Here is a 24,735-nt window from a genome sequence, read left to right as displayed (position 1 = left end):
ACTAAATAATACTATTGGCTCACTGTGGGGAATTTTATACTGCAAAATAAATAAATAAATAAAGGTTTAACTATCTAGAGAATTCAGACCGAAAAAACTCCACTTGTACTTTAATCAACGAGCTTGGCAGGCCTGATGGTTCTGGATACAGTAGATAATGAGTATAATTTATATTAACGGAGAATTCTATTAATTTTCCTATACCTTTTTTGAAGTTATATCATTAATTGCTATTAATGCTTCCTAATCAAGACAGAGGCAGTCACTGAAACAATTAACCTATTTCTGAAGGTGCAAATGGAAAGATAAGTCGTCAATTTCCTAGTGTTTTTCCTCTGCTGCAACACTAGCTCAGTTTCTCTCACTAAACATTCCTCTACTGAGCACCCACAGCAGCTGCTGCCAGCAATCAAGAGAAAACAAAGAATCTGCTCATTTGTAAGGGTCATTCCTGTAGTTCTGCGGTGAGGAACAACCATTTGTTAACTTAGGAAAGAACCTCAGTTGCAACCACGATTTCCATTATCTAAAGACAGTAAGTGAGCCAGGTTCCTGCGGAGAAGTATATACCTCAGAAATCTATTTATGAAATTTGACGACATTATTTTTACTTCTGAGCAGAATACTCCAAAGTGGCCAAAGTATGTTCAGGCAAACAGGTTGGACATGACAGTGTCAGAGGAGACAGATGGACTCTTGGCTGCAGCAGCTGTTGGCTGAATTTGGTCTTCAGCCATGGTGGACCATCACCCTCTGAAATGACAGTGTCACGGGAGAAGCGCAGGCTTTGAGGCCTCTGACTGTGAAGTCTAAGTCCTGCCTTGGCTGCCCATGAGCTCTCTGACCCTGGCAGGCTTCTGTTTCCTTCCAAGTTCCCCTTTACTACAGGAGAAAAGGGGTTATGCTTATTTTCCAGAGTTGTTGTGAGAACAAAATATGTACGATGCATATAACACAGCAGCCAGCACACGGTAGGTGCTCAATAAATGAAATGCTCCAAAATACCTAATGAAAAATAGGAGGGAAACTAAAGGGCCCAACATTTCCTGAATTTAAAAAAAAAATTCTATTTCAATTAGCAATATGGTTGCTTTGGAACGTTACTTTTTTAAGAAAAGAATTCTGGAATACCAGCACGTTCCTAACTTTTTTCCATTTAGTGTGATGACGTCAGACCTGGTTCAGTAAGATCTCGCAGGCTATTTCTGGGCCGCCCAAATCCAAACTATGAAATCTACACTGGAGAACAGAGTGTCAGCCCTACCTGCCCATCACAGGAAATAACGGAACCCCACTGGTGGACAGTTCAGGAATTCCTCTGTGGCTGAGAGCGCGGTGGAGGCATTGACGGGCCCCCAAGTTAAGCCCTAAAGGTGCTCAGGCTACTGGAGCAGACTTTTATTAAGTTCATGTCCCATAAGTCCTGCTGGAAATGTGGCATCTGCCTACCCTTGCCCCTAAATGCAAAAGGCCTGTGGTTCCTGTTTTACAGGTAAGAAGCCTGATGTGGCCTGGGTCACACAGTTGCTAAGTGGTTGAGCCTGAACACAAAGCCAGGTCTGCAGATGCCACAGCCTGTGTTCTGAACCACCGTGCCTTACGGAGTCGTAGAAAGTGGTGGCTGGTATGTGACAGCCTGGGCTTTAAGGGATGAGTCTAAAATCAAAACAGGACCTCACGGTGGCTCACACCTGCAATCCCAGCACTGTAGAAGGCCAAGGTGGGCAGACAGCTTGAGCCCAGGAGTTCGAGACCAGCCTGGGGAGCCTGAGGCAGAAGGATCACCTGCGCCCAAAGAAGTCAGGGCTGCAGTGGGCCGAGATCACACCACTGCACTCCAGACTGGGTGAAAGAGCGAGATCCTGTCTTTAAAATAAAATAAAAACAATTTCATGACGTTTCACTCTAACCAATCCCAGAGAAAACTGGAGAAAAGACAATAGAAACAAATGTAACAGCTGATAGACAAAACATAACAGACTCAAGGTATGTTGGGTGCCTACTGTATGCCAGACACTATGCTAAGTGTCTATAAAGTGCAGATTGTCATTTTCATTGCTCATGACAGCCCCAGTGATTTCATTCCTTCTGGCTGAGGGTTTAAATGAGTGGCCAAAGGGTCCCTGATGCCTGTCTGTACCATCTAGAGGCTCAGCACCAAAGCCATGCCCTTCCCACGGGAATGCATGCTTCTGTAGACTCCATCAGTGCTTGTTGCACAAAAAGGGATTTATCCAGGTGCTGGAAGACTAGGAAAGCCAGCTTGTGACTCTGCATAGGTGACACTGATTTCCCTGAAGTCACTCAACATCCTCCTCACAGGCCACACTCTCACGTGCTGCCCTTACACCCTCCTGAGACCCTCTTTACTTTAGGACCTGAAAAGGGATAACACGTTTGTTCAACATATTGCAAAAACCTACTTGTGGCAATACAGAGTATTGTTAACAGCACAATTCCAAAAGATAATTTCCGTTTCATCAATGGGAAAAGGGGGAGTGCCAATGGCTGACCCTATGTTTTTCAGCATGGTGGGAGGGCTGCGTGGGTGTCTTCTCAGCCGGCTGGAGCACGCACCTGCCAAGTCCTTCTGCAGCAGATCATTAACTCATCTTTCCCTCTGAGATGAGGCTCTGAATTTTACAAACTTCTCTTTAGCATTTCTTCAGCTGAAAAGAGAAGGAAGGATCCGTGTGCCTCATGCTGCCTGCCCACTGCAGGGTGCCCCAAGGCTGCCCTCTGAGCACCCTGTCTGGATGGCTGACAACAGCGAGAACACGCCGTCTCTGGAGAAGCATCCTGCATGCGTTCATCTGTCTCCACTCTGTATCTGGATTAAAACTGCTTAGTTTGGCGACGAGAGATTCATAGAGGCAGTCTCTCCTGATGAGGGTAGAAACGCCGTCGCTTTTGCCCTAACAGCTTGAGCAGGGAACCCAAGCATGCGTCACTGACTGCGATTCCTAAATGCAAACTTGAATGTGCTTTTTCTAAGCAAACTCAGAGGGCAGGGCTTCTACGCAGCTTCTCCTCCTCGCTTCTTTTTACTTTTTAAATAAAGGGCAAAGAGTTCTCAGCTTATCAAAGGTTCTTCCTGGAAGATGTGCTCTGTGTTTCTTCCTGTTCAGTCTCCTTAGAGTTCCCAATGGCAGGGGGTGCCATCTGGGGCTTCAGTCCTAAACTAGGCTGTGGGACAGCTCTGGGGCCCTGGTTCCTGGAGTGGGGTGTCTGGGGTTGTTTTATTACACGCTGAGGACAAGCAGACAGACTGAGCTACAACAGGACATTGAGAAAAGGGGAAAATGAGCTGACAAATCAGTTGTCAAGAATCACATTAAGAGTCTGGACCTTGCAGGTCCCAGAGCCCTGGAGAGGCTTAAGCTGATGTCCTCAGGCCTCCAGCTGGGGGAAAATGACAGTGGCCATTATTAGGAAGGCAGACCCCAGGCTTGAAGCACCAGACAAGTGAGTCGTCCACCATGAAGGCAGCAGACCCCTCACCTCTGTCACACACACACAGGAACAAGGAAAACAAACACTTCAAGTGGGAAGAGCTATGACAGCTAGGAGGAGGGCGACGGGTAAAGAAATTCATTAGTATCTTTCATGCCACTTGGTAAACCTGAAAATTAGCATGCCAGAACTCTCTGAGGGATGGGTTGTGGGAAAGCTACGGACGGACTGCAGGTGCCGGGAGGCCGAGGAAAAAGGGCTGTTTCTCCGGGAAGCTGGCGAAATGTCCCAAACACTACTGTCACTGGTAACAGATGATAACGTACGAGACCCAAACAGAATTCCTGGCAGCATCGGTCATTCTCCCTGTTTGTCGTCTGACAGTGAATGTGCATGTGACCAGGACAGCTCTGGGTGCAGCAGGGGTGGGGGAGATCACACCCCGTCACCACGACGTGCTCAGCTGTGGTTGGGAATGGCCACCCCATCCATTCACTCATCCAGTGCCATCCTTCTGCCCAAGTCAAACACAATTTGATGTCTTCCAAGAAGTCATCAGGGCAGCTGCGCTAGAAAATGAGAGCCTACAGTTCACTGTAACTGAATGAACTGAGCCATCCTAACTCATCCTCTCCTTCCACGCAACTGCTCCTCAGGCTGATCCACTGGATCTCAGAAATACTCAGGAGTCCACCTTTTCCCCATCCCCAATGCCAGACCCTCCTCATCCCCACCTGGATGGTTACAACAGCGTCCCCTTTACTCTGTAAATCTCCCTTAGGTCATCCAAAAAAAAAAAAAGAGGAATTTCTGCCTCCAGGTGATTTGAGCCTCCCATTCTGCACCTCTTCCTAAATCTCTATAGAAATATCCAAAGAAAAAATAGTAGGGAAATAGTCTGCATTTCTGCTGAGAATCAAAATCACGACCACCCACACTGGAGCTCCTGCAGGACAGCATGAGCAAGCCCTGTCTAAGGGAGAGGCTGCCCAACCTGAAATTCCCCACCCGCAAAAGACAAGTCCACCTGGACACGAAGTGAAAGGAACCCCTGAGGAACCCTGCAAACTCCACAGAGGTCAGAATTCCGGGTAGGAGCAGCTTGAGGGCTGAGGTACAGGCTGGGCAAATCTGCAAATGCCTCGTGAAAGTGCACAGATGTTGCCATGAGGGGACTAAACGTGAACTTGGACCTGGCTCACCCTTGCTGTGGCTGGAAGCCCAGTGGTGAGCAAATAGGCACTTCCCAAACTTTGATGGCACCAACCTGGAGGACTTGTGAAGACACACATTCCCAGGCCCCATACCAGAGTTTCTGAGCTGGTGCCTCTGGACCGGGCATTTCTGGCAGGTACTCAGGGGATGCCCACACTGCCAGTCCCGGGCTCCATTGAGAGAACCTCTTGAGCACACTAAGTGCTGGTGAGAGAAGAGTAGAGCCCGGGCAACTTCTCGATTATTAAAACAAACAGGGAAAGGAATTCCTTTAGCCCCGTAACAAACCTCCCTTCATTCAATTGCAGTGAACTGTAGGCTCTCAATACAGCCTGCACATTCATTAATGTGGCAAAATAAAAGTGAAGTAGCCCTGATAATAAAGCTCATAATAAAAAAAAAAGTCCATAATAATGGGATCAATTTAAAGAACATAAAGAAATATCACCCTTATGAAACAGAACATTTAAGAAATTTCTGAATTACACTGCTTGAGATCAACCAGAGAATCTGAATCAAATAACTCATTGAGAGGAGTCAATAACACACTGTAAATATGAAAATGGAATCATCTGAGATCAGAAAAGACTACTTTCAGATGAGAATACAATTGCCAAAATTAACAATGCAACAGAAGCTCGAAAGAACAGACTGGATAGTGCATACAATCAAATCAGTGAACCTGGCTGGAATCAAGAGTTTTCTCCAGAATTCAAAGAAAATAGATTAAGTTAGCTATGATGAGGAAAAGATAAGCAAAATGGAAGATTGACCCAAAAGATCAAATATAAGCACAGTAGGAATTCCAGAAGGTGAATACACTGTAAGTGAAAGAAACACATTAATCAAATTAACAACGTGGAAAAACTTCCCCGACTTGGAAAAAGATTTGCATCTTCAAATAAAATGGACTTACTGAGAACCAGCAAAGGGAGCGCCCCACCACAGTTGCAGCCCAGTAAAACGTGCACGCTTTGTAAGCAAATCAAACTGACAAGAGTGCAGACAGATAAAACAACATATCAATCTAAAGAAAAGAAATGAAAATCCCAAAACTAGATTTCTTCTCTGGGACATTAAACACAATAACAGAATGAAGTAACATCTACGGAATGTTAATGAGATTACATTGTTTCAGAAATATTCTAAAGATGTCAGTCACTGGCCATACTCATTTCTCAAGGAGTCAGAGAGTTTTGTTCCATGTGACACCCAGTGGTATTCGGAGGAACATCTCACGACCAGCCCTGACTCAGCACTTACTGGTTTTCTTGCTGTAAGTAAATCCGGCACAGCCGATTTCAAGCTCCCAATATGACGTCAGTGAACTTGGAGCTGGGAGGAGGTGCCCAGGGTCAGCTCTCACTAGCTGGGGTAAGTGGGCTCCAGCACATCCCGACTGAATCCTGCTCCCAGCCCCCAGATCCATGGCTGCCCGAGCTTAGCTGGCCAGAACTCAGGACTGGTGGGAATCTGCCAATCAGACTCACCTTCTCCGGCGTCTTAACTAAAAGGCAGAGACTACCGTCAGCCACTGAAGCTGAGGGGCCATGACATAAAATTGAGTCTTATGGCAAAAGAAGTAAGCAAACCAGGCTGGTAAAGAAGAGAAGGGTGGCAGAGAGGCACAGAGGAGCATGGGTGAGAGGCCCTGCGGCTCCTGAGTAACAGGGGCTGGAATCCAGGGAGCTTCATTGCTTATTTACTTATTTTGGAGACAGGGCCTAACTCTGTTGCCCAGGCTGGAGTGCACTGGTGTGATCTCGGTTCACCACAGCCTTGACCTCCTGGGCTCAGGTGATCCTCCCACCTCAGCCTCCCAAGAAGCTGGGACCACAGGCACGCACCACCATGTCCACCTGATTTTTTTTATTTTTATAGAGATGGGGTCTGGTAATATTGCCCAGGCTGCTCTTGAGCTCCTGGGCTCAAGTGATCCTCCTGCCTCGGCCTCCCAAAGTGCTGGGATTACAGGCATGAGCCACCGTGCCTGGCCCGGGGAGTTTTAATTTCTAGTCTCTCAACAGGCCTGCAGGAATCAGCTTCTTGGCGCCTTTAGATTCCCTCATTTCCTTTTGTTCATAAAAATCCCCTCCCTCTACTTTTAAGCTGGAGCTAGCAAGTCTATAGAGAAGAGAGGTCTAGTTCTTATAGCTAAAGAGCTTAACTAGAACATCGTGTAACACAACAATTCCACTTCTGGGAATTTATTGTAAAGAAATAATGTTGATGTTTGCATATATGTAGCTACAAGAATATTTGCCATTCCGTCTAATGTGGTGAAAGCCAGGAACCAATCTAAATGTCCAATGATGGAGACAGGTTAATAAATTATGATACATTTGCTAAAAAAAGAAACTAGGCAGTTATTGAAAATGATAACATAGTTAATACTACAGAAATAATAAAATATGAAGTAAAAATGTTTACAAAACAGTGTGTGCTGTATGATCTCATTTTGCTAAAAAATGTATTTTTTATTTGTATGAGACATGAATGAAAATGTTCATAGCCACATGTCTGGGTTGTAGAATTATGAGTTACATATATGTCCTTTCTGTTTCTCTGTATTTTCTAATTTTTCTACATTTAACACTTATTGCTCATCTAATAAAAAAGAAAAATGAGCTCTGTGTTCCCATAGTACCTAGTTTATATCTCAACTCTAGGAATTGCAAACTTGATCTATAGTTTATCTGTTTCTATGTTGGCTTTCATTTGAGGGCAGGGGTGGTATTTAATCACTTGTGCCCCTCAGTGCCCGCTCCTGGCACAGAGAAGGGGCTCCAGTTGTTACCAAACGCCTTCTTCAGCACTCAATTGCGAGATCCATCTTCCCGTAAATAACCTCCGAGCAGTCACTTTATGTCCCATGCAATGCCATCTATTGTTATTTATCCTCCTCTTCACTCTCACTGCTCCCCCTCTGCATAGTCTCCCTTTACCCTGGGTCATCTTATCTGAGGCCATTAGAAATTAATCCTAAAACAGTCACTCCCGAATCTCCACCTGCAGCCCCAGCTTGCAGTTTAAGTGCCGCCTTGCCTCCGGATAGTTCCATCTTGGCAGCTAGAATGCAACGAATCCAAGCAGAACTTCTGTTTTGTCTTTTTTCCTGCCCTCCCACCTTAATCTGTTCCTTACATACTCCTGAGCTCTGAAAAGATCACCCTCACTCCTCTAGTCACTCCAGCTAGAAACACAGTCTTAGAAGCTACTCCCTGGCTCTTTCTCCCCGTAGATGACCATGTCATAAATCCCGCTGACCTTGACCTTGACCTTCCCCCCAGACTCCCAAGTATGTTCCCCTCTTACCACTCCTGTCTCAGTCCAAGGCCTAATGACATCTCACCTGCAAGACTGCAAATCTTTCCTTCAGATTGGTCTACATGCTGCAGCCTGTGCCATCTTCCTAAAACACCCCTAGGCTAAGATCTTTCAACGAATCACCCCGACCCACAGCATGAAGCCCAGAAGACTCAGGATGCACAGCGTGATCTTCCCCTGCTGATCCTCAGTGCTGCTCTCCATCATTTTCCCGGACACGACCCGGTGGGGGTGAACTCACCGCCATTCCTGAGCTGTCTCAGTGCCCCTGCACGTGGCTTCGTCTGTCTGTGCTGCCCTCTCCCCCAGTCCTCTGAACCACATCCTTTCATCCTGAAAGTTCTAATTGCCATCCACTCCCTAAAGCCTTCCCAGAGCTGGTGGTGCCCCCTCTGCTGTGACCCCAGAGCCCAGGTGCTTACTCTAGTGGCCAGTGCCACTGGTCACATCTGATTGGTGTTTTGCTGGTCTCTTCCTCAGAGGGATGTGACCTCCCTGAGGTCCAAGTCTGTGTCTGAGACGTGAGGTATGAGTGCAGCCCGGTGTCTCACGCAGCCTCTGACATGTAGCAGGTCCTAATGAATTAATTACACCTTACAGTTCCCAACAAAACCATACGTTCTTTCAAGCTAACAGCTGTTAACTACTCCACAGGGCCCAGTAGAGCAACATGGAGTCAGTTAATAAAGCAGAATCTTTAAGCGCTCTAAGAGCCGGTGCTCCATTGAAATAGATTCTATGGAGCACAAAACACGTGGTAAGATTTTGGTCAATGCCTCGACATTATGGATATTGTCTATCTTTCAGTTCACCAGGGAGGGTGCTCTTTCAGTTCACCAGGGAGGGTACGAGTGCAACTCCAGTTCCTCTGACCTCCTCTCCTTCCCCTCCAATTGTCATCTGTCGTCACTTGACGGGTGTAGGGCAGGACACACAACTTTTCTGATGCCTGACCTGCAGCAGTAGATGGTTCCCATGGCAGCAGCAGAGGCAAACACCTGACTTAAAGAGCAAGAGCAAGACTGGGACACCCACACGGGCTGCAAGGCCGGCCATGCACCCCAGATCTTGCCTTGGCAGAGGAACTAATTGTGCACTGCACACTGACATACCCTCATTATGGCCTGGGGGAGAAGCCGGGCTCATGGAATATTCAAGGAACTCTAAGTTGTTCAGTTTGTAACATCAGGCAGGGGGAAGGTGAAAGGAGGCAGAGGGAGATGAAGCAGCTGAGATAGATTATGTGAGATGGAATATAGTTAATAATAGTAATTATATTAGTGATAGCATACATTATTCATATTTAGTTAACAGTCATTATATTAGCAATGATAGTAATAGTTATGAGTTAATGGGCTAATGATGATTATGGTGAATGTTATAATAATAATAGATAGAAGAATAATTCTCCGGTAACACATCAATCTGAAAAGCAGTGAAATGTGGAACTGCAAGTGGCACGAATATGTCCATGAGAAGAATAGAGTGTGAGAAGCCATGTATGTGGGAAACCGTCAGAGGATAAATGGGGCCAACTAAGACAGGAAGTCTCTCGGTAGAACCGCCGGTCCAGCGTCATTTCCTGCAGAGACCTGAGTGGCATGCAGGTGTCTCCTGAGTGCTTCAGGGCAGTGGTCCCAGCCTTTTTGGCACAGGGACTGGTTTCACAGAAGACAGTTTTTCTACCAATGTCGGGGGGATGGTTTCAGGATGATTCAAGTGCATTCCATTTATTGTGCCCTTTATTTCTATGATTATTACATTGTAATACAGAATGAAATAATTATACAACTCACCATCACGTAGAATCAGTGGGAGCCTTGAGCTTGTTTTCCTGCAATTACGGTCCTATCCGGGGGTGATGGGAGACAGGGACAGATCATCAGGCATTAGATTCTCATAAGGCGTGTGTAACCTAGATGCCTCGCGGGCACAGCTCACAATAGGGTTCGTGCTATTACGAGAATCTAATGCAGCCGCTGATCTGACAGGGGGCGGAGCTCTGGTGGTAATGCCAGCGATGGGAGCAGCTGTAAATACACATGAGGCTTTGCTTGCTCACTCGCTGCTCCCCTGCTGCTGTGCAGCCTGGTTCCTAATAGGCCATGGACCGATACCAGTCTGTGGCTGGGGGGGTTGGGAACCCCTGCTCCAGGGTACCGCGGTGTTGAGAGGGAAGACACGTGGCCCATGCTACCCCCAGATTCCTGATCTTCTGTTGAGTTTGAGGTGAGAGGGTAGCCCCTGGGATGGCTGAACTGAGATCCAGTCTAAGAAAGGTTCCTCTGTTTTGTCTACCTAGAAGGGGACTCCAACAAAACTGTGAATTACACATAAGGCCCTTGAAATGGACTTTCTTGGGCCCTGAAACAGAAAACTAGAAGTACAACAGAGGTGGTTTCTGCTTTACCGAGGGTTTGATCAAAATCCCTGAGCCCCAAATCTTCCCATCTTTGTATGGAGACCAGAAACCTTGAGTGCAGGAGGAGGTGTGTGTGCAGAATTGTGTGTGCATGCACTTGCCACGCTATCTACATACATGTGCATGTGTGTAGATAATGTGCATGTATGTAGCAGGAGAGAAGCCTGTCAGAAATGAAATTCATGTCTAGGAAGTCTCAGTTTTTCCTCCTTGTGGGCTCTGGAAATAGAATGTGTGACTTATGCTTTTAATTTGACAGCTGGTCCCATAGACGTTCCTCTAACCCTGGGTAAGGAGTGTGGTTCATCAGGCTTTACTCAAACAGAAGCCATGACTTCCTGACTGCCCACACCCCCACTTCCTTCTTAGCAGGCCTCTGCTCTCAGAGTCCGTTTTACCTGCTGGCCCCTGAAGGACAACCTGATGCCCCTGAGCACAGGGAGGGGCTCACCTGTGAGTTCCACAGTGCCCCAAAGTGCAGCCCGTGTCTTGGGGAATCTGTCACACCTTTCTGTACCCTGGATGCAATGAGGCTTCCCGTCTACCCTGGAGAGAAACCCTCAAAGAGGACACCTGATATCCCAGCCACCCCTGCATCACACTCATAACTACCAACAGAACACAGAGGTTCAATAAATATTAGCTAAGTGCATAATGAATGCTGACTTGGAAATAGAGACACCTGCCTATAAGACAAGGGATAGAAATCAGAGACGTATGCTTTCAAGTGATTGATTTTTATTTAGTGACAAAAATAAGCCTGAAAAGAATTTTGAAGGTGTATGCTCCATGAAACAGACTGAATTTTTGTATGTTTTATACTATTTCAGGATTCATTTGATAGAAAACAATTATGTTGTCATCAGTTTGTTAAGGGATGATGGGAGTGTTTTTAGATGGAAAAGATTTGCCCCCAGTCTGTGAGCTTTTGGGCCTAGAATAGTCATCAAAATGGTGAAATGTCAGGCACTTGCCATGATAAGCAACTTTATACTATGAGTCTGCATCTGTGCCTGTATCAGGAATTGCTATATAAGCTAAAGTCCTCTATTATCTATCTATCCATCCATCCATCTCCCTGACAATCTGTCTGTCTATCTATCTATCAATTAATAATCTACAATTTTCCCTCTTCTATCAGCTGGAAGGTAAAATGAAGGGTAATGTAAAGTATATAGAATTTGGGAAGAATATTGCTAAATTTCTCTAATACATAATTATTCAAAAAAGAAACTGCTATTCAATATTTTCCCTAGAAATGCAATGCACACACACACATACAGAGGCAAAGTACAGGCAAACAGAAATAATTCCTAGCTGTCTCTTAAGTAATTAGTTGAGGCCATGTTAAATCTTACCTAAGAATTGCTTAAAACAACTGATTTGCCTATCACATCCACAGACAGTTGACTTTCCATCATCTTTTAAGACAAAGATGGCAAGAGTTCAAATAAACCCCTTTTCTATCACAGCACTAAGACGTGTGCAAGGAAAATAGAAACTCAGGACCCCAAACTCACTGTGCCAAAGGGGAAGTTAGGGCTGGGAACTGAGTCATGCAAAACACTGCCTTCCTTTTGTTCCCAAACAGACAGCTATGATGTCACATGTTTACTTTAACTCATGTAAAGTGTAGATTTACTAAGCAGAGAGAGAATCATAATTGACTTTCCCTGATTCCCTTTCTTCACATGTAAAATGTAGATCCACTGAGGGCTGGTCAGGGCTTCACAGGAATGTGACCACTGGCCTCATTGCCTCCTCTCCCTCCCTCTTTCCCACCCCCCGCTACTCTTGCTTGTTCTTTTCTCTAAATACTGAAGTTCCAAAAACCCTCTTTGGAAAAAGCACAGGCCATAGATCCTACTATGACTTGTGTTTCTTTTTCCTGGGTGTGCCCTCAACCTTGACAAAATAAACTTCTCATCTATTGAGATCTGCTCCAGTCACTTTTTGGTTTAGGGAAGTAAAAGGATAGACTTTTCAGAGATTAACATCTCCTTCCGCTTAATAAAGTGATCAAGAATGATCAAATAAACTGTAGTTCACTAAATAAAAAAGTAAGTAAAAAGTTATCCAAAACGTGGCCAGGCCAGGTTTTGGATACAGTGGTCTGGGTGGAAGGTGGCTAGGACGTGTAAAACCCAGTCAGTCAGCACGTGACTTGGTACTAAGCTCTCAAGGGTACTTTATCAACTTCCATGACAACTTGGAGTCAGCCACAGAGGGTGCTTGGTTAGTGTATGTATTAGCTCATTCTCACGCTGCTAATAAAGACACACCCATGACTGGGCAATTCATAAAGAAAAAGAGGCTTAATGGACTCGCAGTGCCACATGACTGGGGAGGCCCCACCATCATGGTGTAAGATGAAGGAAGAGCAAAAGGATGTCTTACATGGAGGTGGGAAACACAGAATGAGGGCCAAGCGAAAGGGGAAACCCCTCAGAAAACCATCCGATCTCATGAGACTTGTTCACTACCACAAGAACAGCATGGGAAAAACCCACCCCTATGATTCAATTACCTCCCCACGGGTCCCTCCCACAACACGTGGGAATTATGGGAGCTACAATTCAAGATGAGATTTGGGTGGGGACACAGCCAAACCACATCAGGGTACATGCTCTTCAGGGGTCTCCTACCAAAGACTCCCCTGGCTCCAACAAGGGCCTTTAGCCACTGGCTTTCTACAGCGAGTGAGCTGGAGAGAATGGGGCAGAAGCCAGGCTCCAGCTTTCTCTGGCTCATCCTACCCCTGCTCCTACCACGTCATTTGCATGTAGACCCTGTTATTTGGAAAATACCCTCAACTTCTCGTGCCCTTAGGGGCTAATTGAAAGCTCTCAGATTCCACGGCCGTACAAGAGAATAATCAACAGTTGTGGGATTTCCGGGAGAAATGTGCCTTACAAAGTTGACTGAAGGATGGCGCATGATTCTGATTCAAGTTTCACAGCTGCATCCATACTATCAACAACCACCTAAAATGAGTTCAGTCTTGCCCGTCACTTAAGACACATCAAACACACTCGCTTTCGACGACTTTTGAAATGATTTCCTTTTAAAAGTTCAAATGATTCTGAAGGTCTCATTTAAATTCTCAAAAAAGCAAGCAAATTGACCGATCAAATTGTATGGACGTTTTTTCAACATTCCACTTAGCTTTTAATTACCCAGTGGGCCATCAGGGATCTGCTGGAGCTGCTCTGGAGACACCTCCCAGCCCATGTCACCGTGGCTGTCACAGATACCCAACACTCTGTCCTCAAGCAAAAAATCATTTTGCAATAAGAGTTGGGAAAGATGACTGAGCACATGCAAGAGCAAGCCTTTGAACTTCCCTAGCTTCATGGTTTCAGCGTGCTTTTTAAAAATAGCTTCAGCAATTAGACCATGTTTGTGCAGCAACTGCAAACATACCATTTCTGAGTTCCAGGAGCATAAAAACCCTCTAAGCCGTTAATCTTAGGTTTTCTCATTTCTGCCACAATCTCGCTGTGATTTCAATGCAGTTTCTCTCTATATGTGCACATGTACACACATTTCTTCATTTTCTCTGAATTTTTGACATAACAATCTTTGCCCCCTCCTGATTTCCGAAAGCAGAATATTATACACATTGAAAAGATTTGACATGAACCCAGTAAGACACAATAACGTAGGATGAGCAGGAATGAAAATAGGCAAGTACGGTAATAATGCAGACAAGCATATTGCAGCAGCAACTTGCACCTAATTATGATAAAGGCATAAATGAACTGTATAATGCAAATGCTTTCAACCAAATATGAGGAAAAGCTGCAAATGGGTTTGCACTAAATGCAAAATGCTAAGCTATCCCCAGGGCTGGGCCTTCATAACCGCTCCTTACCTTTTTCAACATCTGGAGTAGATGCTTCTTCCTTTATAATAGGGCAAGAAGCTTTCAGAAAAGCAGGCACCATCAGGGAAGGGAGTATGGTATAGCAGAGTCAGCCCTGGGCCCTGGCGCTAGTATCACCACTAACTTAATGTGTAATCTGGGGCAAATCAGTCATCTCCAGTCATTTTTATTTACTCTGGCTTAAAGGTTAGTGAAGCAAAAAATAAAGAGAAAATGTGGAGGAAAATCAAAGAGAAATTGTCAGGGGTCAGCATCTGTCTACCCCAAAATATGTTTTCTTATTTTTGCTGGGCTTGGAGAGAACAAGAATAGATGGATGTCAATAAACCACTGGTGAACATACTCAAGGGGGTTTAGGAGAGTTGGGATTGAATGAGGGAAAGGATGTTACCAGAGCACTAACATAGTCCAGAGAAAAGAATGGATGAGGGGAATAAAGATAAGTGTAACAGGGCCGGGCACGGTGGCTCACGCCTGTAATGTCAGCACTTTGGGAGGCCGAGGCGGGTGGATCACGACGTCAGGAGATCGAGACCATCCTGGCTAACATAGTGAAACCCCATCTCTACCAAAAATACAAAAAATTAGCTGGGCGTTGTGGCGAGCGCCTGTAGTCCCAGCTACTCGAGCGGCTGAGGCAGGAGAATGGCGTGAACCTGGGAGGCGGAGGTTGCAGTGAGCCGAGATCGTGCCACTGCACTCCAGCCTGGGTGACAGAGCGAGACTCCATCTCAAAAAAAAAAAAAAAAAAAGATAAGTGTAAGAGAAAGGTCAGAGGAGGGGAGAGGGAAGGGCCAGGAGGCAAGAAGACCGGGAGCCATCTAGAGAACCAGGTACGCTTAGCGCGAGCCAGGAGCTGGAGGCATTTCCATACCGATGCCCTGAAGGCTTCATGGCAGGGCCCCCGGTACCCCTTGCTCTGCCCACCTCCCAGATGCTTCCTTCAGGCAACTCCTTCTTCATTTTAACTGTTTTCCCTGTCATTAAACCCTCCTTAATCACAAGCTCTCACTTTAGAAGGGGAGGGGAAGATGAAGAGAAGAGAAAAACAAGAGCCTGATCCACATCTTGCTTGCCTTCGGCCCTCCACGGTTGCTTTGAGCCCTTACATGAAAACTGTGACTTGCATCTCGTGGGAACAGATGTCGTAGTGGAAAGGTCACTGCACTTTTTTTTGGTTAAGGACTAGAAATCTTTTTCAAGCAAGTCCATGTATAAATAAAGAAATCGGGTCTTCTTCTCCACCCAGCTGCCAAGTCCCTTAGGTCTCCTTCCTCTTCCTTCTGTCAACTGTCTTGAGCCCCCACGGGCCAGACCGTGCCGGTCTCTGCCAGAGGAGAATGATAAGTAAATGCATGAAAAGCCATCCGTGGGGTGGGCCCAGGGGGCAGGAGAGCCCAGAAGCGGGTGCCCCAGCCATGCCTGCCTGGGAGAGGGAGGTATTTGGAGGAGTTGTGGGTGGTTGGCTTCCCTATCTTCAGTCCACTGAAGCTTAGCTTGAGCAATCAGTACCTCTTCCCCGGATAAATATCAAAGCCTCTCACTGGCCTTTCTTCTTGCTTCAGCGCCTCACAGAATGCAATGTTTCTTGAACCACACTCTGTGGCACGCTGGTGTTGTACTTGCTTATTTGGTCATGCAAAAACACTGAGTGCCTACTGTGCACCAGTTACCGTGAAAAAGAGGTTTTGTGGTCAAATACATTTTGGAACTCTCTCTTCTCAGAGTTCACAATACACGCATTAGCATCTGAAAGCAAATTTTGGAATAAATAAAGAAAGCTCCTCCTCCTATAGCCTAAGAAACACATTTAGAAATGGATCCACTGGCTCATCCTCTCTATTACGGAGTCCTCTTCCTAAAACACAGCGCTCATCACGTAGCTCCTCGGCTTTAAACCTTCAACGAGGGAACAAAATAAACTTCGACTCTGCTCAAGCTCCTCTGTAGTTTGGTTTGTTTCCCAGACTTCCTTGGCCGATCCTTTGTTCTAAGTGAACAGGGCCCCCTTGCCCTGCACGCCCCCGCACCTACAAGCTCTTGCTCAAGTTGGCCCCTTCCCTAGAATGCCCTCCCCCACCTCATCTCTGCTCTGAGTCATCCTTCCAGGTGCAAGTCAAACGTCTCCACAGCAAGGTGAGTACTTTATCCAGCTCCCTCAGGTCACATATTTGCACCCTGCACTAGATTATAGCATGATTCACTACTGAGGGAAATTTATAATTTCCCCTTAAGCTCCTCCAGGGCAGGGCCTGCTCCTTGTTCAGCTGACTCATTTTCACATCTGTGTGACCTCCCTCCTCCAACACCTAATACAGAACTAGAGACAAAATGGGTACAGTAAAGAGATGGCTGGCCTGGGCTACCACCGGCTGTAAGACCTTGGGCAGGTGATGTGGTTTGAATGTGTCCTCCCAAAATTCATATGTTGAAACCTGCTACCCAAGGTCATAGCATTAAGAGGTGGAGCTCTGGGGAGGAGAATGGATCAGGAGGGCAGAGCCCTTGTGAATGGGATTAGTGCCCTTCCTCAGGTAGCCTGAGGAAGCCCGTCTGCCCTTTCCGCCATGTGAGGACACAGCAAACCAAGAAATGAGCCCTCACCAGACACCGAATGTGCTGGTGCCTTGGTCTTGGACTTCACAGCCTCCAGAACTGTGAGCAGTAAGTTTCTGTTGCTGACAAGCCACTCTGTCTATGGCACTTTGTTACAGCCCCCCAACAAAGACAGTAGGCTGCCTAATTCTGATTGCTGCCCCTTCCTAAAGTGGGGGTACAGGATCTAGAGGACAAAGAAGCATGGGTTTTAAATTCAGCCATTTCACAGGCAGAAGGAACAATCCCACAGCCACAGCAGCCATGTGAGCACATGTGCCTTCAGGTTTATCTGTAATTTTTTTTATGTGTCCTTTCAACTTTTGTCCCAGTTACAAAGACTGCAGAGGCCTCCAGCCGGGCCACCCTAGTCCCCCCAAAATGGAGAGCTGACCCAGAGGCAAGGCCACCCTCTTGGAAAGGCTGTGCATCAGTGGCGCTGGAGGAGAGCGGAATGCCCAGAAGAGCAGGCAGCGGGAGACAGAGCAGCACGCCTGAGCTTGGGGAGAGAGGAGCCACAGGGCCCCAGGAAGAGGCCCACCCTGCTCCACAGCGTGGGCCACATTTATGGGATACAACAGAATGCCGATTATCCGGACTAACTGGGGATTTAACAATCTGAATAATCAGTTTTTCTGGATAATTGATCACGAGGGATGCAAGGAGAGGAATCATCAGCCATTCAGGCAGAAAGGCCCAAGAATTGGCCTTTCAAGTGACCTGAATTCCAGAAATTAACACTGAACACTATGTATCATGCAACTGGGAAAGGAGGACGTCCCATTCTACACCTGTCAATCACCGGAGCCTGGGCAGCGTACTTATGCAAAAAACAAGACTGGGGTCTCAGGAAGACCTTCTTAGAGGCCTGTAAAAGCTTCAGACTAGGATGGTAGCGCCGAAGGTAACCGAATGGCACGATGACTCAGTACTTTTTGGTGACCTCCGAAAGCTCAGGCACCTTCCAAAATGCTAAGGACACAGATGCCCGGCACACACATACACACACAGAAATCTGGCCTCTTCAGGAAATATTCCGCACTATGCAGCTATTTTCCCTACACATGCAAATTCTCCAACACAGAGAGTCTTTGTACACATAATACTGTTTGAAGAATGTGCCTGACAAGAGACAATTTTGAACAGAGTATTGTGCTGTGGTGATGTGGCAGCACAGCAGAATAATCTGTTTTTGTTTTGTCTCTCTTTGAAACGCTCAGCCTCTCTCTCTGCTTGGCTCTGTGCACTACAGAGAGAACAGAGGCACCAAGCGCTGCACATTCCAGGGGAAAATAATGCTCCTGTCTGCTGACGCAGCACCACGCAGGGGGCCATTCGCACACAGGACTTTTTCTTTTTCCCCCTGCAAAGAAACACAATGATTCCACATCAGCCTCTCCAAAAAGTGAACAGTCCTTTCAGATGGCCTTTCCATCCATGAGCGCTTTTATTATCTTTATACATTTTAAATGAACCTTGCCCTTGGCCTCTACTTTTTCTAACATGAAATATTCACTTCCCCGGGGTGTAGATGCATAATAATCCCTCCTGCTCATTATAGGTTTTCAAAGCTGCATTTCCATCCTGTTGTATTTAACTTTTATTCAAAAAAAGGCTGATTTATATATGAAGAGGTGCCTCGCTTTAGGCAAGCACGCTATGCAAAAAGATAAAGCCATCGACCATGAGAATTAAGAGACGGATGGTTCTTTAATCCCTGAGCTTCTTTGTAGTAAATTAAAAAATATTCCTACTTTAAAGCCGTGTATTTGTGTATCCTTAGACATAATACAGCCTCATACTGGAGAGCGCATATAGGCCAGCTCCACGGACACACATGTGATGAGTGCTCAACACTGTAGTGGGTGTGGTGGGGTCACTAACACCGTCACTGTCCCCTTTTCCCGAGCTTACTGTCTTTGGGAGAGGTAGGGATCAGCAGAAGCATAAAAGGTAGACAGTGTTGCTGTGTGGCCATATGAACCTGAGCAGAGGCCACAACTGGAGGACGGAGGAGGTCCCTCAGGATGGGCAGAGGCTACTCCACCCACCCCTGCTCCACAGCTGCTCCACAGGAGCCAACAGCAGTGCCTGCACAGTAGATGGGGTGTCCGCCCCGCAGCCCAGGCAGGATTTAAGTCTGGAGTTATTGGCGGCCATCTGGTCACCACCCGAGAGAGCCTGCTGGAGAGCAGAGCTGAACTAGAGGACAGCAGAACTCCGTAATGGAAAACAGGTGTATGATGGAGTAGAGGATGAGGGTCTCACTGCGTCTGAAGATGGTCTGCCTTGGACCCTTCTCTGACTTATGCCAAGATACTTCCTATTTATTTCTAAAGCCAACTCCAGGAATAAATAACTTTTAGGGCAACTGAGAGAAAAGGGGGCCAAAAGGCACAGCCAGAGGGGCTGTCTTCCTCATCTCCTCCCACCCTGGCTCACTTGAGCAGGGGGCAGCCATCCGGGGCAGGCTCACCTCCATCTCCTGATGGCCCACCCCAACTCCAGTGTCACCCACACTGGTAGAAGAAACATCCTAGGGAAGTAGGAGAGTCCAACCCATACCTTTCTAATGTGGATCACTGTCTCTGTATTCTAAGGTACCAAAAAAAAAAAAAAATGAATTCTTTCCTCCTAAGTCCCCCCAAAAATGCTTCCTTTTCCTGACTCCCGCTCTAGACATCCGGGAGACACAGGGAAAATAAATTTATCATGTATTCTCTTACAAAAGAAGATGATTTCCCCTTTGACATGAAAAATATATTAAAGAGGATTTGGAGGAAAAGACAATTATCAGGATAGGCTTAGGTGTGAGAAGAGGTTGAGATGAGTACTTGCGGAATATTTAAAGGAAGGAAGGAAGAGATGAATGGTGGCTGTACCAGATGGGCTAAGCATCAGAATATCACCCTTTTTAGGGGAAGCTGCCTATGAATCTCTATGCAGTTTCCAAATGACCCAGCAATCCTGGACGCAGCTGAGTGGACCGCTGAGTGGACTGCGGGTGAGCATCTGGCCAGCCGTGTATGAAGGGATGTGTCGACGCTGTCGGGACACGAGGTTCGTGGTGGGGAATGAGACCAAGCTGATCGTCTCCTGGATCTGGCGTCATTCCCAAGAATCCTGCCCTCCCTGCTTCCACTTGCATTTGTGCAATGAATTTTCCATCCCATGACAGAACTTCAGTGAGTGTTCACTGTTTGCAGCCCAACGCGCAAAGTGAGCGGGACACAAGGCGCTCATCCGGGTTATGCGCACGGCCCATTCTGTGCTTTCCTGTACCGCAGCCCTCAGCACGTTACTCCAGGGTTAATTTTCTCTGTGTGTATCACAGAAGCCAGCACATTACGGGCACTCAATAAATGTTTGTTAAATAATGAAAGCTAAGCCGCAGAGAAGAGATGAGAAGGCTCAGGAAACAATGTATCAAAGCAGGAATGAGTATTGGTTCAGTATCACCCCCAAGCCCCAAGCCAACAACAACAACAAAAAACCCTCTTGAAACAATGTTTTTAAAAGTAAACAATACACACACAAGCCCTTGCTCAATCAAAGTATTCTAGTTCCACTGAAACTCACACTGGGTAGACATGGTGTACACAGCTGAGCAATAAGAAACAAGAACTGGGCAGTTCTAGGACTAAGCAGTTTGCTCTTAATTTTGAATATCATATATGTTAACCTAAACAGATGAGGGATGATGTAAGACCCTCACCACCTCTGCTGTTGCGGTGCTACACCTTTGTGATTTATTTCATTTTGGTAAGAGTCTGTTTTAAAAACGCAAAGTTGCTATAAGATTCAGTAATCGCACTCTTAGGGATATATCCCAGGGAACTGAACATAGAGACTCGAACAGATACTTGTACACGAATGTTCACTGCAGCATTATTCACAAGAGCCAATAGGCAGAAACAACCTATATGTACATGAACGGGCAAGTGGATACATAGAGTGTGGTATGTCAGATAATGAAATAGTGTTCAGCCACAAAAAGCAATGAGTTTTTGACACATGCTACAATGTAGACAATCCTTACAAACATTACGGTAAGTAAAATAAGCCAGACACAAAAGGACGAATATGTGAAATATTTCGAATATGCAAATTCACAGAGACACTAGGCAGAAAAGCAGCTACCAGTGGCGAAAGGGGAGGTGGGAATAGAGGAGTTAATAGGTACAGAGCTTCTGTTTGGGTGATAAAACATTTTTGAAATAGATATGCAGGATGTTTACACAACAATGTGCATGTAATTAATGCTACTAAGTTGCATGGCTAAAATGGCAAGTTTTAAGTTTTACAGATAGAGACAAATCTTCATAATAAAAAAAGAGAGAATATATTTAAATATATCTGATTTTAGCAACATATTAGAATACACTGGCTCAGACCCTATTCCTGCTACAAGGACGTAAGATTCTAGGTGAAATATAAGAAGGAAATTTTAAATGAAAAGGTAAGCTTGATGGAGAAAAGAAGACAGCATGCGCTAGAAAGGAGATCAAAAAAGACACAGAGGCAGGGTACGGTGGCTCATGCCTGCCATCCCAGCACTTCGGGAGGCCGAGGTGGGCGGATTGCCTGAGCTCAGGAGTTTGCGACCAGCCTAGGCAACATGGTGAAACCCCGTCTCTACTAAAAAATACAAAAACTTAGCTGGACATGGTGGCGTGCACCTGTAGTCCCAGCTACTCAGGAGGCTGAGGCAGGATAATTGCTTGAACCTGGGAGGCAGAGGTTGCAGTGAGCCGAGATCTTGCCACTGCACTCCAGCCTGGGCGACAGAACAAGACTCTGTCTCAAAAAAAAAAAAAAAAAAAAAAAAAAAAGACACTGAAATGCTACCTGTGTCTTGGAGGGCTCCTTAATCTGAAAAATTAATTTAAACCAGCTCTAAACCATTGAAACCAGCAGGACAATAGCACAAGCAGAGGTGAAACCATTTGATGGTAAGGCACAGTTCAGGGAGCATGAGCGTTCCATGAATGTAACAATTAATGAAGATGAGCTCCTGCACTCGCGCGCTCTCTGTCTCTCTCTCTCTCTCACACACACACACACACATACGCATACAGCCACCATTGTAAAGATTAGTATGTTCTGAAACAGAATTTCCACCCCTGAACTTACTACAATAATTTGGGAGACACTACAAAATAAGTTAAAAATGATTAAACATAAAATAATTAAAGTTCTAACAAAATAATAGAACACGATGAAAAGGTGGATTTGAAGAGTAGCAAATGGAAACACAAATGAAAAATATAGTCATTGGAATTAAAAACTCAAAGGTGAGGACAAACATCAGGTAAGACAAAGCTAAAGAGAAAATAACTGAATGAAAAAGAGATTGAGGAAAGTTTCCAGAATGTAGCAAAGAGAGACAGAAACGATGAATGGGAAGAGAAAATAAGGCAAAATGAGAAGATGCAAATATGCTTAAATCGGAGTTCTAGAAGGAGACCAAAACAAGTGAAAAAAAGAAATATTCAGAAAAAATAAGGCTAAGAATTTTGAAACTGAGGCCAGGTACAGTGGCTCATACCTGCAATCTCAGCACTTTGGGAGGCTGAGGTGGGAGGATCGCTTGAGGCCAAGAGTTCAAGACCAGCCTGGGCAACATAGCAAGACACTTATCTCCACATTTTTTTTTTTAATTAGCCAGGGATAGTGGCATGTGTTTGTGGTCCTTGCTACTCAGGAGGCTGAGTCTAGAAGATTGCTTGAACCCAGGAGTTCGGGGTTACAGTGAGTGATTGTGCCACTGCACTCCAGCCTGGACAACAGAGCAAGAACGTTCCTCTAAAAAAAAAACTTTGGAATTGATAAAGGACATGATTCTAAAGAAACAAGAAACATAATGATTCTTAAACAGGAGAAAATAACTACCTAGTGAAACTGTAGACAGCAAAGATAAGGAAAAAACAACCCTAAAAACCATAGGGAAAGATTATCCACAATAGAATAATTATACTGAAAGCAGATTTCTTACCAGAAAAATAAAAAGCCTAAAATAAAATGTAACAAAAGTGTCAAAGGATTGAAAGAAAGTGAAATATCAACCTAGAGTTTTATATACATCCAGACTATCATTCAAGAATGAGAGTAACATTACCTCCAGTGATACAAAAATAATGCACAAATATTCATTGCGGCATTACTTATAATAGAAAAATAGTGAAAGTCGTTTAAATGTCCATATAGGAGACTGACAGAATAAACCGTGGTATAACAAACACGTAGTAGCTATTTAAAAAATAAAAAAAATGGTGAAGTTATCTATGAACTGATGTGGGCTGATTTCCAGGATATGAATTGGAAAAAAAAAAGGTGCTGATTATACTTTAAAAATGATTGTATTTTTATTGAGATATAATTCATATATCATAAAAGTTACGACTGTAAAATACACAGATAAGTAGGTTTTATTATTATTATTTTTTTTTTTTTTTTTGAGACGGAGTCTCGCTCTGTCACCCAGGCTGGAGTGCAGTGGCGCGATCTCCACTCACTGAAAGCTCCACCTCCCGGGTTCACGCCATTCTCCTGCCTCAGTCTCCCGAGTAGCTGGGACTACAGGCGCCCACCACCACACCCGGCTAATCTTTTGTATTTTCAGTAGAGACGGGATTCTATTGTGTTCTCCAGGATGGTCTCGATCTCCTGACCTTGTGATCCCCCCTCCTAGGCCTCCCAAAGTGCTGGGATTACAGGCGTGAGCCACCGTGCCCGGCCTATTATTAATTTTTTTTAGATACATGGTTTCACTCTGTCTCTCAGGCTGGAGTGAAGTGGTGTTATCGTAGCCCACTGCAGCCTTGATCTTCCGGGCTGAAGCCATCCTCCACATCAGCCTTCTGAGTAGCTGTGACTACAAGTGTGCACCACCATGTCTGCTAATTTTTATACATTTCTTGTAGAGACAGGGTCTTGCCCTGCTGCTCAGGCTGCTCTTGAACTCCTGGACTCAAGCGATCCTCCCACCTCAGCCTCCCAAAGTGCATTACAGGTGTGAGTCACTGCACCAGGCTAGTTTCATTACAGAATATTTATATTATATTATATTCACCAGGTTGTGTAGCACTTCCTAGTTCCAGAGTATTTTTTCCACTCCAAAAGGAAATCCTATACTCTTCAGCACTCACTTTCCATTGCCCCTCTCCCCACAGCCCCTGGGAACTACTACTCTACTTTCTGTCTCTATAGATTTGTGTATTTTGCACATTTCATATAAACTGATTCATGCAGTATGTGGGTCTTTGTGTCTAGCTTCTTTCACTCAGCATAATGTTTTCAAGGTTCATCTATCTTGTACCACATCTCAGTCTGTTTTGTGTTACTTTAACAGAATACCTGAGACTGGGTGGTTTATAAAGAAAAGAGGTGTAGTTGGCTCACAATTCTGATGGCTGGGAAGTTCAAGATTGGACGTCTGCATGTGGTGAGGGCCTCAGGCTGCTTCCACTCATGGTGGAAGGGGAAGGGGTGTCTCGTGTGCGAAGATTACATGGCCAGAGAGAAAGCAAGACAGAGTCTAGGAGGTGCAAGGCTCTTTTTTAACAACCAGCTCTCTCAGGAACCAATAGGGCAAGAACTCACTCCCAAGGGAGAGTACTAATCTGTTCATGAGGGACCCACTTCCGTGACCCAAACACCTCCCATGAGGCCCCACCTCCAACACGGGAGATCAAATTTCAACTTGAGGCTTGGAAGGGACAAACATCCAAACCATCACATACCACATAGCAGTATTTCATGAGTGCTAAAAAACATGTGTGTACCATTTTTTGAGTGAACATATGCTTTCAGTTCTCTTGCATACATACCTAGGAGT

General features: G+C 45.4%; 1 protein-coding gene across 5 annotated transcripts in view, besides 1 other annotated feature; it reads right to left on the bottom strand.

Annotated features, from left to right (window-relative positions):
* Positions 1-24,735, bottom strand: part of SDK1 (sidekick cell adhesion molecule 1) — a 967,749-nt gene that overhangs the window by 340,653 nt on the left and 602,361 nt on the right. The gene's annotated exons all lie outside the window — the stretch shown is intronic.
* Positions 16,244-17,443: an enhancer, noted in NCBI's record as "MED14-independent group 3 enhancer chr7:3950537-3951736 (GRCh37/hg19 assembly coordinates)". NCBI's record gives its function as "activates an origin of replication core promoter dependent on BRD2, BRD4, P300/CBP and CDK7 cofactors, and independent of MED14, by STARR-seq in HCT116 cells {active_cell/tissue: HCT116}" and the evidence as "EXISTENCE:reporter gene assay evidence [ECO:0000049][PMID:35650434]".

Source organism: Homo sapiens, chromosome 7, assembly GCF_000001405.40.
Source record: "Homo sapiens chromosome 7, GRCh38.p14 Primary Assembly".
Lineage (NCBI taxonomy): Eukaryota > Metazoa > Chordata > Mammalia > Primates > Hominidae > Homo > Homo sapiens.
This window is presented reverse-complemented; position numbering and strand designations above follow the sequence as displayed.